Source organism: Homo sapiens, chromosome 10 (genome assembly GCF_000001405.40).
Source record: "Homo sapiens chromosome 10, GRCh38.p14 Primary Assembly".
Classification (NCBI taxonomy): domain Eukaryota; kingdom Metazoa; phylum Chordata; class Mammalia; order Primates; family Hominidae; genus Homo; species Homo sapiens.
The window spans coordinates 5478408-5494529 of NC_000010.11; the positions used below are offsets into that span (position 1 = coordinate 5478408).

Below are 16122 nucleotides of genomic sequence, written 5' to 3' on the forward strand. Positions count from 1 at the left end.
ACCTTCCTGGGCATCTACCCTGAATTCCTCCTGGACTTGTTTAAGTTTATCTCCGTTCTCCAGCTGTCCTAGACCACAAGGCCACTGAGTGCTCTCTCTTCTTTCCTTACCTCAGGACAGACGGCACCCACCTCTTCTAGTCTCCCTGCTCCTCTGCCTCCCTTTGGGTAGGCTGGAAATCTATGGGTCATGGACAAAACATGGCCCCCGCTCTTTTCTTGATAAGCAAAAGCAGTTTTGAGGCCTCAAAGAATTTTTGAAAACCTCTAGCAAAATGAATCACAAGATTTGGAAGCTGTATCTTCAGAAAGTCCGTTTTGTGGCTGGGGCCAGGTTTTTGCCTCTGGCATGGGTTGGGGGCTGTCCCCGGGACTTGATCAAGGGGTGGGAGGTAAGCGGTGCTGTGTCCTCTCCCAGGGGAGCCTCCTCACCAGGAGGTGTTGAGGAGCCAGGGCAGGGGGGCCGCCTGGCCTGCAGGACCAGAGCTAGGCCGCCGAGGGCCTCTCTCCCTCCACCTGCAACTGTCTATGGCCTCGGCTCCCCTGGAGCTGGGCAAGAGCCATCCATGAGAGCGTCTGGGTCGGTTAAGGTCCCTTTCTGTACCCTCGCGATTCTCCTCTGAGGCCTATGTCTCTGTCCGTCTCCTCCAGCCCCCTCACACCCTGGCTGCACTGCGTCCTTCTCTCCTGGAGGCCCCTGGCTGAGCCCCCCGCCGTGGTCTTGGCCTCTTCTCCAGGAACATGAGAGGCTGGGATTACATCGCGTTCCCACAGGCCCACTAATTTTGTGCCACTGCCACAGTTTTGCACTTTTTCATTCATTATCTACTCAATAGTTTCAAATCTACAGTTTCTGTCTTTAGTGAACGTAATTTAAATGAACACTTTATGTGATTATTCTAAATGGAAAACCAGCTTCCTTTGCTTTATATAGAAGGAAATGATAATAAGTATATACGGAAAACAAAATAATGTCAGTAAGCGCTGCCTGGGCCTCTCTGGCTCTGAGAAGGGTCTGCTGTCTCCTTTTCTGTTTCCCTCACAAGCCCTGAAATCCCTCAGACACCATCAGTGGCACATAGCAAAATTCTGGCAAACCCTTGGAGATCTCTGTGGTCCATTTCAAAGCTACTATTTTCACTATTCTTCTGTTTCTTTCTCCCCTCTCCTCCCCAGATGCCTTAGCTACTTCCCCGTGATAATTACAACACACCCACAAATACAATCCTCTGGTCTAAAAGTACCTGCTTAAAAAGACTTTTTATTTTCCAGCGCCCGCCCACAGCAAGGCACCAGGGTTGTGTTTTGGGAGAGATAAGGGGCTCTGTTTCCAACATCCCTCCCCACAGGCCCTGACAGATACCACGGTGGTTCCTGATAGGAAATCCCCTCTGCCTCATGGAAAACCCAGAGAAGGAAGCCGAGTGGCCTGGGTAGACTAGGCAGCCTCCACCCGAAGCTACAGAAATAAAAACAGCCCATCTTCTCGGGGCCCCAGGCCCCGAAGCCCAGGGCCCTGATGGGCGGGAGATGAGTGCCCCACTCACAGGGACCTGTCCTGCGAAGACACAGGTGCAGCCACGGCTGTCCCCTGCCACTGTGTCTGCACCACACTCCACCAACCACAGCTGTCCCCTGCCACGGCATGTGCACAGCACTACCCCAACCACTGCTGTCTCCTGCCACGGCGCCTGCACCACACTCCACCAACCACAGCTGTCCCCTGCCATGGTGCCTGCACCACACTCCACCAACCACAGCTGTCCCCTGCCACGGCACCTGCACCACACTCCACCAGGCCCAGAGTGGCCCTGACCCAGGACTGCGTGATAAAGCAGAGGAAGAAGTGTCCCTGTCTCCATTTTGCAAATGAGAAAACCATGTCCAAGAGGCTCTGCCCAACATGGAACCCAGGCACGTGTTTCCAATTCAAACACGCACAAAACACTTTGACCCCCTCTCGTACCTGTCATTCCTTCTTTCCCTTCAGCTTCTTCAAAGATGATGCCAAGTTCAAGGTCACGACAACTCCCCGTGACGGAGCCTCTGCTTCTTTCCCCACGTGGGTCCACGTGAGGCTCTGCCCCACCAATGCCCGGTGCCTTCTAGAACTCAGTAGCTCAGCTGTCCACTGCCACTCATGAAGCTGATCTGAGCCCCTCAGTGGGAAGGGCAGAGTCAGTCTGGTGAAGGCCCTCCCGCCTCACAGGGCGGTCCTGAGGCTTCCCCTCCTGGCAGTGGTTGGGCTGACCCCTCCTGCCTTCCCCTCCCTGGAGGGCCCCGAGGTCATCACCTCCCATCTCCACCCACCCTATCCAACCCTGGGGTGGCAGGTCATGAGTGACAGCCCCAAGGACACCAAGGGATGAAGCTTCTCCTGTGCTGAGATCCTTCTCGGACTTTCTGAGAGGCCACGCAGAACAGGAGGCCCCATCTCCCGTTCTTACTCAGAAGCTGTCAGCAGGGCTGGGCTCAAGATGAACCCGTGGCCGGCCCCACTCCCCAGCTCTTGCTTCAGGGCCTCACGTTTCGCCCCCTGAGGCCTGGGGGCTCCGTCCTCACGGCTGGAGGGGCTCTCAGAACATCTGGTGGGCTCCGTCCTCACGGCTGGAGGGGCTCTCAGAACATCTGGTGGGCTCCGTCCTCACGGCTGGAGGGGCTCTCAGAACATCTGGTGGGCTCCGTCCTCACGGCTGGAGGGGCTCTCAGAACATCTGGTGCACGGCTCCCAACTCTCTTCCGGCCAAGGATCCCGTGTTCCTGAAATGTCTTTCTACCAAACACAGTTGCTGTGTAACCACTCATTTCATTTTCCTAATTTGTGTTGATCCAGGACACGGGAGGAGACCTGGGCAGCGGCGGACTCATTGCAGGTCGCTCTGCGGTGAGGACGCCACAGGCACCAGCGTGCTTCTCCTCAGGACATGCACTTGTAACAACATGTCTGGCCCTTTTTTACCCCCTTGTGTTGGTTTCCTACAACTATGTAGCAAGGTACCAAGACTGGGTGGCCTGAAACAGCAGAAATGTGTCGTTTCTCAGTTCTGGGGGCCAGAAGTCTGAGCCACAGGTGTGGGAATGTTAGGGGTGGCAAATATCCGAGTTACTGGCAAGTCGGCAAAAACCTCAATTCTTGCCTCCTCAGAAGAAAGGATTCAACAGAGGGGCATACGGCAGAAAAAGAGACCAAGGCAAATTTCAGAGCAGCGGTGGAAGTTTATTAAAAAGCTCTGGAGCAGGAAACAAAGGGAAGAACAACTGGAAGAGACCCAAGCGGACCCCTGGAAGGACGAGTGCAGCCTTTGACCTTTGGATTTGGGGCTGGAAACATTGGCATCCTTCCGGGGTCCCGTTCCTCTTCCGTGCTTTTTCCCTCAGGGTGGGCCGCCTGCACACGCGGTGCCCTCCTCAGCCCCGGGAGGCCAACACCGAGCCCTGAGTTTAGGAAGTGGTGGGTGTCCCTCCCTGAGACTTTCTTCCCTTTTCCAGTGGAGTGCCCTCAAAGGCCGTACTCCTCCGTTTTGTCTCTTAATGCCCATCCCCGAGCCTACTCGCCCCATTTCTGAGACTTTGTTGGAAGCCGATTACACATCTCGAGACTTTTTATCTGTTTGGGGAATCACCTCTCCCTGGAGCCTGTGATCAATGATTGTTTTTAGATAGGCGGTGGGATAACTGCTGAACTCTCACCCGATGATCCCCTGACATTCCTGGTGGGTGGCAGGGGAGCCCTCTGCTGCCCGGCTGGTGCCTGATTAACCACCTGCAACAGGCAGGGCCCTGAGGGAGAATCCCTCCACATCTCTCTGATCATCCAGGGCAGCCAGGACCCCTCCGTGCAGTCTCTGCCTCCGTCTTCACATGACCGCGGTCTCTGGGTCTCTGTGTTTGTGTCCCCTTCTCTTAGGACAACAGTCAGTGGATTTCCGGCCCACCCTAAATCCAGCTGATCTCCCCTCGAGATCCTTAATTACATCTGCAAAGACCCTATTTCTAAATAAGGGCCCATTCACATGACTGGGTGTTAGAGCCTGGACATACCCTTTTGGAGACCCCCTTCAACCCACGGCCCCCTCACCAGTGAACGGTAAGTTCTGCATGGACAGAGACCATTTCTGTCCTGTTCATATCACATCATCAGAGCCTTCGCAACAGTTATCCAAACACATTTACTGAATGAATGTGTACATTTAACTCAAAATACTGAAGTTTGACCTTTTTCTCCTCTGTAGTTTAAGATAAATTTCCACTCTACTTTCTAAAATACAGTAGATGACTATTTCTCTGGGAATCTAAGTATCAGAAGCATAAAAATAACAAAGTGGCTTTTAAAGGGACTCAAAATGAGACCCACCATGATATTCATGCCAACATCACAAATGACAGCAACATATCCTCAACTTTTGCTTATTTCTTCCCAAACATTTTATCCTAAATTGTGTATCATACTAATTTTTCCAAATACATTGTTGGTTTATTTTCAGTCACTGGGATTGTTTGCATTTGGACATCAAATTTGGACCTGGCAGGGTGGCTTAGGTCCATAATCCCAGCATTTTGGGAGGCCAAAGCAGGAGGATCCCTTGAGCCTAGAAGTTTAAGACCAGCAAAGGAAACATAGCAAGACTCTATCTCTACAAAAAAAAAAAAAAAAAAAAGAAACAAGGCCGGGCGCGGTGGTTCACACCTGTAATCCAAGCACTTTGGGAGGCTGAGGCGGGTGGATCACCTGAGGTCAGGAGTTCAAGACCAGCCTGGCCAACATGGCAAAACCCCATCTCTACTAAAAATACAAAAATGAACCGGCCTGTAATCCCAGCTGCACAGGAGGCTGAGGTACAAGAATCACTTGAATCCGGGAGGAGGAGGTTGCAGTGAGCCAAGACTGTGCCACTGCTCTCTAGCCTGAGTGACAGAATGAGACTCCATCTCAAAAACAAAAAAAAAGAAAGAAAAAAAGAAACAACTAGCTGGGCTTGGTGGTGTGCACCTGCAGTCCTGTGTACGCAAGAGCCCTAGGTGGGAGGATTGCTTGAGCCCAGGAGTTTGAGGCTGCAGAGAGCTAGGAATGTGCCACTGCACTCCAGCATGGGCAACAGAGAGAGACCGTGTCTCAAAAAAACAAAAACAAAAGCAAAAACCTATTGTTTATTTGGAATGCATCAGGTCCTAAATGCTCCAGGCAAAAAGTACCTGTGTTGAAATCTGCTGGTGACCCCTTTTCACATTCCAACCCTCCATCCAACGGTCCCCTCTGACCTCACTCCCTTCTGTTGTCTTCCTGTCCAGACCAAACTGGGCCCTTAGCACAATCAATCAGGCCACAGGAAAGGTCTTGAAGGAACGAGGGTGGGATGCACATGGTGCTAGGCTGAGCGGAGAAGGGGTGGACACTGAGAAAGAAATGTCAAAATTACACAACTGCAGCCTCATGAAACACAATTGAAATGATTTTATACTGATGGAGGATTTTCAAAAAGTTCTCCTACACATTTAAAACTCTCAGAAAAGACGAAAACTCCAGTTCTAGGTGGCTTTTAGAGGCATTCCGAATTTCTCAAAGTCAATGTGGATGTTCTAGTAGAACATCCAGTTCATCTAGAACAATCCAATTCTACCAGAGTTTACCTGTCATAAAATCTGAAATAAGTATTTCATCTATAAAATAAGAATATTTTAGCATTGTCCTAAGGATTAAATGAGATCATGTATGTGAGGGAGGAATAGAAACTGTAAAGCTCTGTAGTTATGGAAAACTCGAAAACAAATTATTTTTCATGTCATTTACGGATTTTGAAAACCATACCCCATACCCCTCTACTGCTTAAATATTTTTTACTGATTGATGAATAATATAAATAGCGGTGGACTGGTACATGGTTAACAACCAGCTTTCCAAGGGAAAAAGGACCTGATTTGTAGCATTTGCCAATTGCTGTGGTGTAAATACTACCACCAGGGCCAGTTTCAAGTTGCCAACGTGATACAGCTGATTCATTGTATTTCATGCAGCTGTATCCCTGCAGCAGTGAAGAGCTCACAAAGTCAGTCTCATGAGTCAGGAGCTGGCTCTGGCTCATCGTGGATATAAATGATGCACCTATGTTATTCATCATCTGTTTTTCTTCTTTTGTAAAAACAGGTATGTGCTTGTTGAAGCAAAATTAGAAAACATATAAAAACAAAAAAATGTTCATAATTCCACATCCTGCAAATATCTCTTTTTTATCTTTTGGTGAATAGTGTTTTACTGTCTTATGCACACCTCCACGTTCATATACTGTAGCAAAAATACAATAGTAGGATACACATTGTTCTAGAAGCAAACAAAAATGTATGAAGACATTTATATGTTTATGAAGACCTTTAAATATTTATATAGAAACAAAATGTCATTGCAACCTAACATCATCCATTAAAAATAAAAGGAAAGGAAAACGGCAGGGAAAAGTGCAGTAATAACAAATGGTGACATGCTTGGTCTTAAGCATCATAGCAAACTCATTATTTCCAATGAAACAAGGATTTTTAGACCCATCTTTGGAAATGATTCCCAAATTAGAGAACCATCAGGTCTCAAAAAAGGAAGGGTCATCAAAGTCCATCCAGCCCAGCCACCCTGAGGTGCCTGTATCTCCTCAACAAGCTCCCTCCCAAATGTTTCCCTAAGGTCTGAGGAGCACCTGCAGCCTCCATCCCCCAAGGTGACATCCCTCCCTGGGCAGCTCTGCAATCTAGGCTCACTGTCTCTGTGCTGAGCTGCAGTCCAGCACAGCAGCTCCCGCCTTCATCCCCGACTTAGCCCAGGGCCATGGTTCCTAGCAGGTCCCCCCATCTTTTCAGCACCCAGCGTGTGGTCTTCTCGGCGGCAGCTGAGCACACTCCTTCTGTCCACCATTCCCGACACATGGGTCTTCCTGGTCCTTCCTCTCGGAACCGGTTCCAGGTTAGAAGTGAGGTGCCTAGAAATGAAACAGCTGGTCCTCTCTGTGTTTTCCATCCATCCTGCAAAATCGACTCCTTGCTGCTGGGATGACAAGATGAAGTCCAAGCTCACGTCCTGGTGGGGTGGGAAGCGTGGGTGGATGGAAAAAAAGGCAAAAATGCCTAACTGTGATGGATGCTCTGCAGAGCTAAGAGGGGTCTCGTAGTAAAGGGGGACAGGCTGATAGCTTTTATTAGAGATCGAGTCAGCGTCTCTGAGGGATGACGTTTATGCTGCGAACTCGGTGACAAGACGGAGCCAGGCAGAAAGTCCAGCTCAAGCTGCATCCCCGAGGCAGCAGCAGACCACCTGCCCACTCCTTCTGCCTGCCCACTGCTTCCTCATGCCCCACCTTCTGCAGCTTTTAGTCCCAGGCCGCCTGGCAGACTTCTCTGCAGATCTCAGGCTTCTCCCAAACAGGCCAACCCCAGAAGGGTGTCTGCCCCTGGACAACCATGCCAGGAAGGAGGCACATTGGGCTATTGAGATAACTCTAAAGGCAGAACTTTCAGAATTGAACATCAGTGACACTGAGAAACGAGGATCAGGAGGCCCTGTGAGCAGTCCAGCCCCTCCCCACAGGCATCCTCTCCAAGGCACCAGTCCACTTGCTTCCCAGCAGAAACATCCCAGGTCCAAAGGCAGGCAGAGAGCCGGCCTGGGAAGGGGCTACTCTGCACCCCAAAGTCTCCAGGAAGCCCCAAACTCACCCTGAGCCTGCAACACCCAATTATCCAAATGGTCTTCAAAGCCTCAGATGCTTTACAACCCAGTCCAGCAGCCTCTGACCCTCAATAGTATCAGCCCCAAATCCTGTGTGCTCAGAGCCTCCCAAGGCTTCCAGTCCAGCACCCTCCCCGACCTCGGCCACAGCTGTCACTTGTGCCCATGGAGCGCTAGGGCCCGGCACTGTGCCTGCAGATCACTGGGCTCCGTGTGTTTTGCTGCGGGAAGAAAGGGAAGGAGGGAGAGGAGGGAGGGAGAGGGTAGCTGGGGCAGGGAGACTGAAGGAAGAAGGGCATTAGCAGCTGTCACTCCTGGAGCGCTGGCCTCTCTGGAACGGGGTGCTCTCTGTCTGCATACTGGGGGCAGCGTCTTTCCTCTTCCTCTTCTCCTCTTCACAATGTCTGACAGTCCACACATCCAAGAGGGAAGGAGAGGGTTTCCAAGATACCTCAGACTCTGTGTGGATTCAGATTCTGCCTTGAAGCTGGTGGAGCTGGAGATTAGGAAGGGCCTGGGCCTGCAGGCGGAGGAGAGGCAGCTGTCCCTGCTGACTCCCCTCTCCCTGACCCTCCCCTCCTGGTCAGCACCTTCCTGGCTTGAGAGGAGTCCAGGACTTTCCTTTTCTCCAAATTCTGGAGACAGGCAGGCCCCAGGGTTAGAAGCAGCACCTTCTACCCTGTTCCGATCACAGCCTGAGTCTTGGACAAGGGCTCCTCCGGCTCTCAGTGGCTCCAGGATTCTGAGAACTCTGACATGCTTCCACCATCTGACAGGCAAGAGGCCAGATGGGCCTGGTTGGCCCACCCTCCCGATGGTACCAGCAGTAACTCTGACCCGGCAGGGTGTGGACACGGCTCAGCCTGGTGGGGCTGGAGTCTCTCCCGTCCCCTGCTCACTCCCCTCCCACCTCGTCCAGAACTGCTCAAGGCCCCGGGGTTACTAAGTCAGGCCCTGTCCCTCCAACGCCTTCCTCTCTGCTTCCCCTCCCCACGTCCCTTCCTTTCTCTGCTGACTGCCTCCACCTTCCCTCCTGTCCTAATCAGCTCAGGCTTAGGTGGCCGAATCTGCCTCCTACAGGGCCCATCTCCCTTGCCCTCCTTCATACCACACATCACTGCCAGCATAAGCTTCCTAAAGCACAATTTGGCCGCACGTCCCCACAGGTTAAAAACCTTCCGTGAGTCTCCATCTGATCTTCTGGGGAAGAAATAGCACTAATCTTGGTGACATTATGCAAAACACTTCTGCGGCCCCACAGACGCTGTTCTTAGCACTTTCTCCACATCCCCCACCCCCCACCCTCCTCACAACCACGTTGAGGCGGGTCTCACTGTTACCCCCAGCTACAGTTGAGGAGACTGAGGCAGAGAGAGCCACTGACTTGCCCAAGGCCATATCACCAGGCTTCACTGGGACTTGAAAAGGATCCAGACTCCTTCAGCAAACCATCAGGCTGTCTGCGACGGCATTCGGACCTCTCCCTTACCTCCCAGGCAGCGCGGGCTCCCCAAAAGACACTGACGCTCCCACTTCCAAACCGTCACTCATGCAGTTTCCTCACCAAGAACGCCCCACCCCTGTTGAAATCTGCCCCCGCCTCAGTGCCACTTCCTGGAAGTCTGTCCCCTTCTCTGAGCACCTCCTCGAATGGGAATCCACTGACGAGGGACCTGACCCACTGTCTTTGCATGGCCATTTATGTTACATCTCCTGGGCCCAGAGGCCGGCGCAGCGTCTCCCTCCAAGTCCCTGCAGACTCACAGTAAGGAGAAGCACCCAAGGAAACACTTGTAGAATAGTGAGTGAGTGAATGAAAGTCACCAACACCTCCTCCATGAAGCCACGACCACAAGGCTCCCGGTGCAGGAAAATACTGTTCATCAAAAGCACTGAGATTTGTTTTTGTTTGTTTTGTTTTTGTTTTTGTTTGAGACGGAGTCTTGCTCTGCCGCCCAGGCTGGAGTACAGTGGTGCGATCTCGGCTCACTGCAAGCTCCGCCTCCCAGGTTTAAGCAATTCAACTGCCTCAGCCTCCTGAGTCGTTTGGATTATAGGTGCCTGCCACCACGCCTTAATTTTTGTATTTTTAGTGAAGATGGGGTTTCACCATGTTGGCCAGGTTAGTCTCGAACTCCTGGCCTCAAGTGATCCACCTACCTCGGGTTTCCAAAGTGCTGGGATTCCAGTTGTGAGTCACCGTGCCCGGTCCAAAACACTGAGATTTGACTTCTTCCTAGGCCAAAGGTCATCTGGGCAGCAAGGCAGGAGCTCCCGGATCAGGAAAGTGCAGGCACACCATGTCTCTGAGTGGTGGGGTGGGGACAGAGGCTGGCAGGCCACCAACAGGGCAGCATCTGCTCCCAACCAAGGTGACTCAGACCTCGCCTTGTCCAACCTGCAGGCCTCCCAACAGTGGGGCTCTATAAGGCTGGCGTTCGCCTCCAGGGTTCTCCCCGACACTGGATGCCAACCTGCCCAGGGGCAGAAGGGAGGTTGGGCGTGGGGAGTGCCGGGTACAGTCAGAGTTGCCAGGACAGTTTGGAGCAGTGCCTCTTAATCTTGGCCGCACAGCACCTGGGAGCTTTAAATAGACCCCCACGCCTGGGCGCCCCCACCGCTGACCCACCAGGGCTCAGTGCAGGGGGATGGCTCACACGGCACATTCTCCAGAAGCTCCTGGGGTAGCTTCCAGGTGCAGCCGGGGTTGGGAATCGCTGGCTTATGCAACCCAGCAGAGAGGCGGGAAAGGCAGAGCTGAGATCGGGTGGGGCCACCTGTGGTGGGGAAAGAGATGAGCTCACACCTGGAGATGGTAAACAGTGCAAAAGCAAGAAGAAGCTTACAGAAGGAGTCGTTGGGCCTTTGCCCCAGCTGCAGCCACGTGAGAGGGAAGCCAGGGGAGGAGCAAGGTGCAGGCATCTGTGGGCTGGGCAGGGCCTGACTGCACTGGGCCCAGGCTGGGAAGGCCTCACCTGCTTCTCCAGCGGGAACGGAGGGCGACCTGCGCAGCCTAGGCACTGCGGCCGTGGTTCACATGCAAAAACTAAAAGCTGGACTCATTTCCAGAGAAACTGAGATAGAATACTCTACCTAAATTGTTTCTGGAACACATGATCACCATACCTGTTGGGAATCTGTTCTTGATGAGTTTTGTTGTTGTTGTTTTTATAAAAGGGGGACCCACTGTGGAGAGAGAAACAATGGCTTGAACTCTTAAAAGCTGGTCTTAGAGGTCTGGAGTCCACATCTTTGACTACCTGGCAGGGTGACATGCCTTTGATTCTCCCTATGTTTGGACCAAGAGGGGATGAGTTGGGATTTTGTGATCATACGAGGACTATTTTCATGGTTCTTGGACAACAAAAAGAGAGAACAAGACAGGAGTCCTCTCTCTGCAGTTGCATTTCTGACTCTTCCTCTTGTTGCAGAGTACAACTCTGTGAAGATTTCCTTTAATCCCATCAGCACTACGGAAGCCATCTCCCCCATGCTGGAGATGAGGCCTCCCGGGCAAAGGAGCCTGCCAGGTCGTGCCATCACAGTGCATGTGGAGGGTTTCATGCAGAATCCAACACACTTGAGGAGCCTGTCATCTAGTTTAAGCATTGATGGGCTTTATTTCACTATTCAGGGTTCTGAGGATGGAGAATAGGCCTTGTCCACTAGGAATGACGTAAGAGGTGCACTCTGGAAGGAACTGTACAAATAGGGAGAGATCACCTTCAGCCATTTGCTTGGAAAAGAGGTGCAGAGGAACCCCCTCTGCGCCAGGCCCGGCTGTGGAAAGCTTCCAAAAGCAGGAGGCATTTGATGTGGAACTTAACAGAAGGATTGGGTCACCAGGCCTACCAGGATGGATATAAACTAGGATTTAAAAGATCCAGGGGGCAATCCAATGAAGAAAATGTATTATTTCGTATATGAAATTTGAAACATGTATTTGGATCAGAAGTAGAGTAATTCAATCTACCGACAAATCAATCTACTGAAGAACCTCTTGGAAGATTTGGGGGAAGTTTTGCTTTACTTGAAATTAGTTTTGGTTTCCCCAATGCTGTCCCACCCAAGTCAACTCCAGTAGCTTCATGAGTGCAGTTCTCCCCTGCTGAATGTCAGTTTCATGTGTGATTCATATTTCAGACTCCAAGCACTTACCAAATACTTAAACCACTTGCAAAATATCCATTTGATTGAGCCAGTGAATAAATCAGTGAATTGAAAGAAGTACTAAAGCAATAGATTTAAGTTGAAATTCTATTAGGGGAAAGAAAGCTGCCAATCTCTAAAATCCTGGACGTTGAAGACGTGTCCAATGGCTGAATCTTGAAATGAACCAGAAGCTCTCTTTCTCCAAAACCATTGAACCAAAATGCTAAAAATGAAACAACAAAACAAAAACAGACAACTTTAAACACTGTCAGGTTATGGTACAATGGTTAGGTGAACTGACTGCCGCTAAAATAATTTACTAAAAGTAGAACTGAACAAAACTAAAAATTTAAACTCAGTAAATAAAACGTCAAAGAAATAGTCAACAACTTAGAATAGCTCATCCAATATGAATTTCTGTGATCTTTATTAAGTATCCTTTAAAAAAAACTTTTTAGTAAGTTGGGAAATACCAGCACGTTTACCATTTGCAGAACTAAGCTTCTGGCAAGTCAATTTTCAGAGAAGCAGCTTTCAAAGAACTGGGTTTTCCTAAGTGACCTGAAGCTGCGCCAGCTGCTCGGATGCTTCCTGGGCTCTGTCTACTCTCTTTGGTGTTCTGAGCTGAGACCGGGCACCCTTGTGGACCCAGACGTGGAGCATAGCCTGGTCTCTGCCCTTGAGGGTCTTCAAGGCCATTCAGAGTCGGCAGAGAGGCCATGTCTGTGCATCTCTCGTAACTCACAGTCACCAGCTTCCGGAAGACATTCCACTATGTGGGTCCCAACCAACCCCACCACCAGACCCCCACCTCAAAACCAGTCCCTGGGCAGAGTATGCCCAGGAAGCACCCCTTGAAGGCAGTCCCCTGACCCCCTTCTGAGCCCTTGAATTCCACTCCAGGTCCTTCTTAGCACCTCGCTCTAAGACCTGAAGTGAGCCACTTCCTCTCCAGTCCCTCAAGTTCCCTTCTTCGTCTCTTGGGACAGTAGATTCAGAGAATCTGCTGCTTTCTTATTGCTTTGTGGCCCCATCAAAGCCCTTCTTAAGAATGGGCTCAACAACAATGAACAACTGGCTTAGAACACCCTGTCTCTGTTATTCTGTCTGCCCCAGACAGGTCTTCTGCCTCCCTAGGCTGTCTGAGTGGCTTCACTTCTCTCCTTCCTTAATGCTTCTCTGATTGCCCATTCCCCAGACCTCCAAATCAGCACAGAGCTTCCTGCCACAGCCCTCTTTGTAGGGGGCTCACCCCTGCCCCCCTCCCTGGGTCCAACTGCCAAGGCCACAGCCCTGGCATGGGCACCCAGACTCCCTGATGCCAAGTCGGCCACAAGCCTGGAGCAGGCCTTGGCTCTGGGATTCCAGACTGTATTCCCATGACATGATGGATGTTCTGAGAGGGACAGAATCGCCGAACTCAGGCCGGGGATCCTGTCTCTCCTTCACTGTTCTTCACTTAGACCCTCATACCCGGGGCAGTGTGTGTGGCTGGGGACTCATGAGTCACACCTGCTGTGAGCACTGAGCACCTGCTACGTGGCAGGGGCTGCACTGGGCCACGTGTGGACTCCACAGGCAAAGGCCACCTTGGGACATGCTCACAGCAGCACGCTCCAGAAGCCTGGGCTCTTCAGTGGGCTCTGAGTGCTTTCTAGTACCTTCCACAGGCAGTGTACCCAGTGCTAGTGTCACAGCACCCAGTAGCCCAGGTATTATTATTGATCTCATTTTCCAGGTAAGAAAACCGAGACTCAGAGAAGTCAAGGTATTTGCTCAAGGCCACATGGACAGCGGATCTGGGATTTAATTCCTTCTCCATCTCATTCTGGAGGCTCCAGGGGTGACACAACCATTGAATGGAATATGATCAGCCACTAAAAGCAATGGCGTGGGTCTCCATTATTTTCACAAGGAAAGGTGTCCACAATACAGCATTAGATAGAGAATGGTTACAGAGTCATCTGCATGATGCCATTTCTGGGAAGGAAAAGTATGTAGAAATAGAAGTATGTGAGTGGATAGAAAAGGAAAAAAAAAAAAAGGCAGGGTATGTTCCAAAATATTTACACATGGTCTTTGCTTAGAAAATTGTTTCCATTTTATCCTGCTGTCTATGCTTGTGTAGGTGAGCATTGGACTGACAATTCTGAAGTGCCTTCCTGATGACCAGTGTGACCTTTTCCTTCCCAAGAACTATGTTTCTCTTGCTCCTCGCCTCCCCACCTTACACAAGGCACAGCTGAGCCCAGACAGGGGAGGCAGCTGACCTAAAACCACCCAGCAGAGCACGTCCCAAGCTTCAGGCCTGGAGCCCAGGAGTCTTGACTCCACACTCACGGGGGCCTGGGGCCTGACCAGACCAGTGAGGCCTCTGACCCTTCACTGCCTGAGAGAATGTGCCCCAGCCTGTGAGCAGCTGCCCCCGGGCCCTCCTTCAATACCAGTCCTAGGTAGAAAGGCTGATGGTGGCCCAGGAGGAGGGTCTGGGCTTGGCCTGGCCACTGCAGGAGACTCCAGGGTTCACCTTTCCCCTTTGCTCCCACCACCTGGAATCCCTGCTGCCTGAAGCACCCCCACTATGGCATCCCTCTAAGCAAGACCAGAGCCCATCATTCTTTAGAAGCTGTTCTGGTGGGCTCGACCAAGAAGTCAAGGACCCCCTGACAAGGAAGCTTCAGCGCAAGCCAGCGGCTCTTGGTGTGTGTGTGGAGTGGGTGTGAGTGAGTGTCTCTTCCTCAGTGCACATGCCTGACTCCCGTCCACTCCATACCCTCCTGATATGGCCTGGGGAGGGACTGGCCGACAGATACTCCCCAGGCCTGACCCTCTCCTGTCCCCCTGTGCCTGCCCAAACTGTGCGCTGATATTGGTGCTGCCTCCATGCAGAGCCGGGAAGGATCAGACCCATGGCTGGGTCAGGGATCCTGCCCAAGAAGAGGGAGAGGTGGGGGTTGGCTGATTTGCAGGATTTGGTTCCATGGAGAGCTGGAGAAATGGATTCCAGGAAACCAGGAAGGCAGGGAGAGCAGACACCTGAGGTGGGAGAGAGGGTTCTGGGCAGCCAGAGCCCAGGGCGGGGGTGTGGAATGTCGGCACATCCCTGGAAGCTAAGCAGGAATGTGGTGGGAGACATACACCCATGGGTGCTTCCAAGAGGCACAGCGAATTCCTGCTGTCAGGCAGAATTCCCAGAAACAGCAGGTGAGTGGTCTCTACTCACCTTAGAAACGCCCACCGCACAGGAGACTGGCGAAGCTCCCTCTTGAACTTTCTCCCTGCTCGATGACCTCTCATCTTCAGGAGACTGGCGAAGCTCCCTCTAGAACTTTCTCCCTGCTTGACGACCTCCCTCCTGCCCCCTCCTCTCATCTTCAGACTTCTTGTCTTTGCTAAGACTCCAGGGGAGTCCAGGGAGGCCAAGGGGGTCCCTCCTCCAGCAAACATTCACTGAGGGAGGAGTGGCCCTGTTTATTCAAAGCAAATCATACGTTCTGTGTGCAGCAGCCTACACCCTGGAGGTACAGGAATTAGGAACTGCCCTGCAGGCCCTGAGGGGCTCCAGGCTGGGTCTGAAGGAGAAGAAAAATTGAGAAACTGCTGTTTACCTAGAGAAAGGTAAATATTGTCAGTGAGGAATGTGCAAACGGCCCAGGGTTAGAGGATGACCTTCCCTGCAGAAAAGGCCCCAGGGATTGCACAGGATGCCAGGCTGATCCTTCTTTAGTCTCCTGGGCCCTCCTTCAATGCCAGGCTGATCCTTCTTCAGTTCCCCGGGCCCTCCTTCAATACCAGGCTGATCCTCCTTTAGTCTCCTGGGCCCTCCTTCAGTACCAGGCTGATCCTTATTCAGTTCCCCAGGCCCTCCTTCAATCCTTCTTTAGTCTCCTGGGCCCTCCTTCAATACCAGGCTGATCCTTCTTCAGTCTGGCATCCTGGGCAATTCCTGGGACTTTTCTGCAGGGAAGGTTGCCCTTTCCTCTACAACCCTCCTCCTTGCCCCATTAAAAGATCCCCCAATAAAAGTCAATCAGATGGCTCGCCCTGCCTGTAATCCCAGCACTTTGGGAGGCAGGTCACCTGAGGTCAGGAGTTCAAGACCAGCCTGTCCAACACGGAGAAAGCCCGTCTTTACTAAAATGCAAAAATAAGCCAGCATGGTGCACGCCTGTAATCCCAGCTACTTGGGAGGCTGAGGCAGGAGAATCGCTTGAACCCAGGAGGCTGAGGTTGAAGTGAGCTGAGATCGCACAGCTGTATTCC

General features: G+C 51.7%; 4 annotated features.

Moving 5' to 3' along the window:
• Positions 1033–1861: a transcriptional cis regulatory region, noted in NCBI's record as "candidate enhancer chr10.222 targeted for multiplex CRISPR interference". NCBI's record gives its function as "positively regulates NET1 gene expression with high confidence in K562 cells {active_cell/tissue: K562}" and the evidence as "EXISTENCE:mutant phenotype evidence [ECO:0000015][PMID:30612741]".
• Positions 1715–1764: an enhancer, noted in NCBI's record as "active region_2924". NCBI's record gives its function as "activates an Ori minimal core promoter by ATAC-STARR-seq in GM12878 lymphoblastoid cells {active_cell/tissue: GM12878}" and the evidence as "EXISTENCE:reporter gene assay evidence [ECO:0000049][PMID:35858748]".
• Positions 14841–15019: a silencer, noted in NCBI's record as "fragment chr10:5535211-5535389 (GRCh37/hg19 assembly coordinates)". NCBI's record gives its function as "represses an EF-1alpha promoter that drives an FKBP-Casp9 reporter gene in an ReSE screen in HepG2 liver carcinoma cells {active_cell/tissue: HepG2}" and the evidence as "EXISTENCE:reporter gene assay evidence [ECO:0000049][PMID:32094911]".
• Positions 15319–15613: an enhancer, noted in NCBI's record as "tiled region #10902; HepG2 Activating DNase matched - State 8:EnhW". NCBI's record gives its function as "activates a minimal TATA promoter and a strong SV40 promoter by Sharpr-MPRA in HepG2 cells {active_cell/tissue: HepG2}" and the evidence as "EXISTENCE:reporter gene assay evidence [ECO:0000049][PMID:27701403]".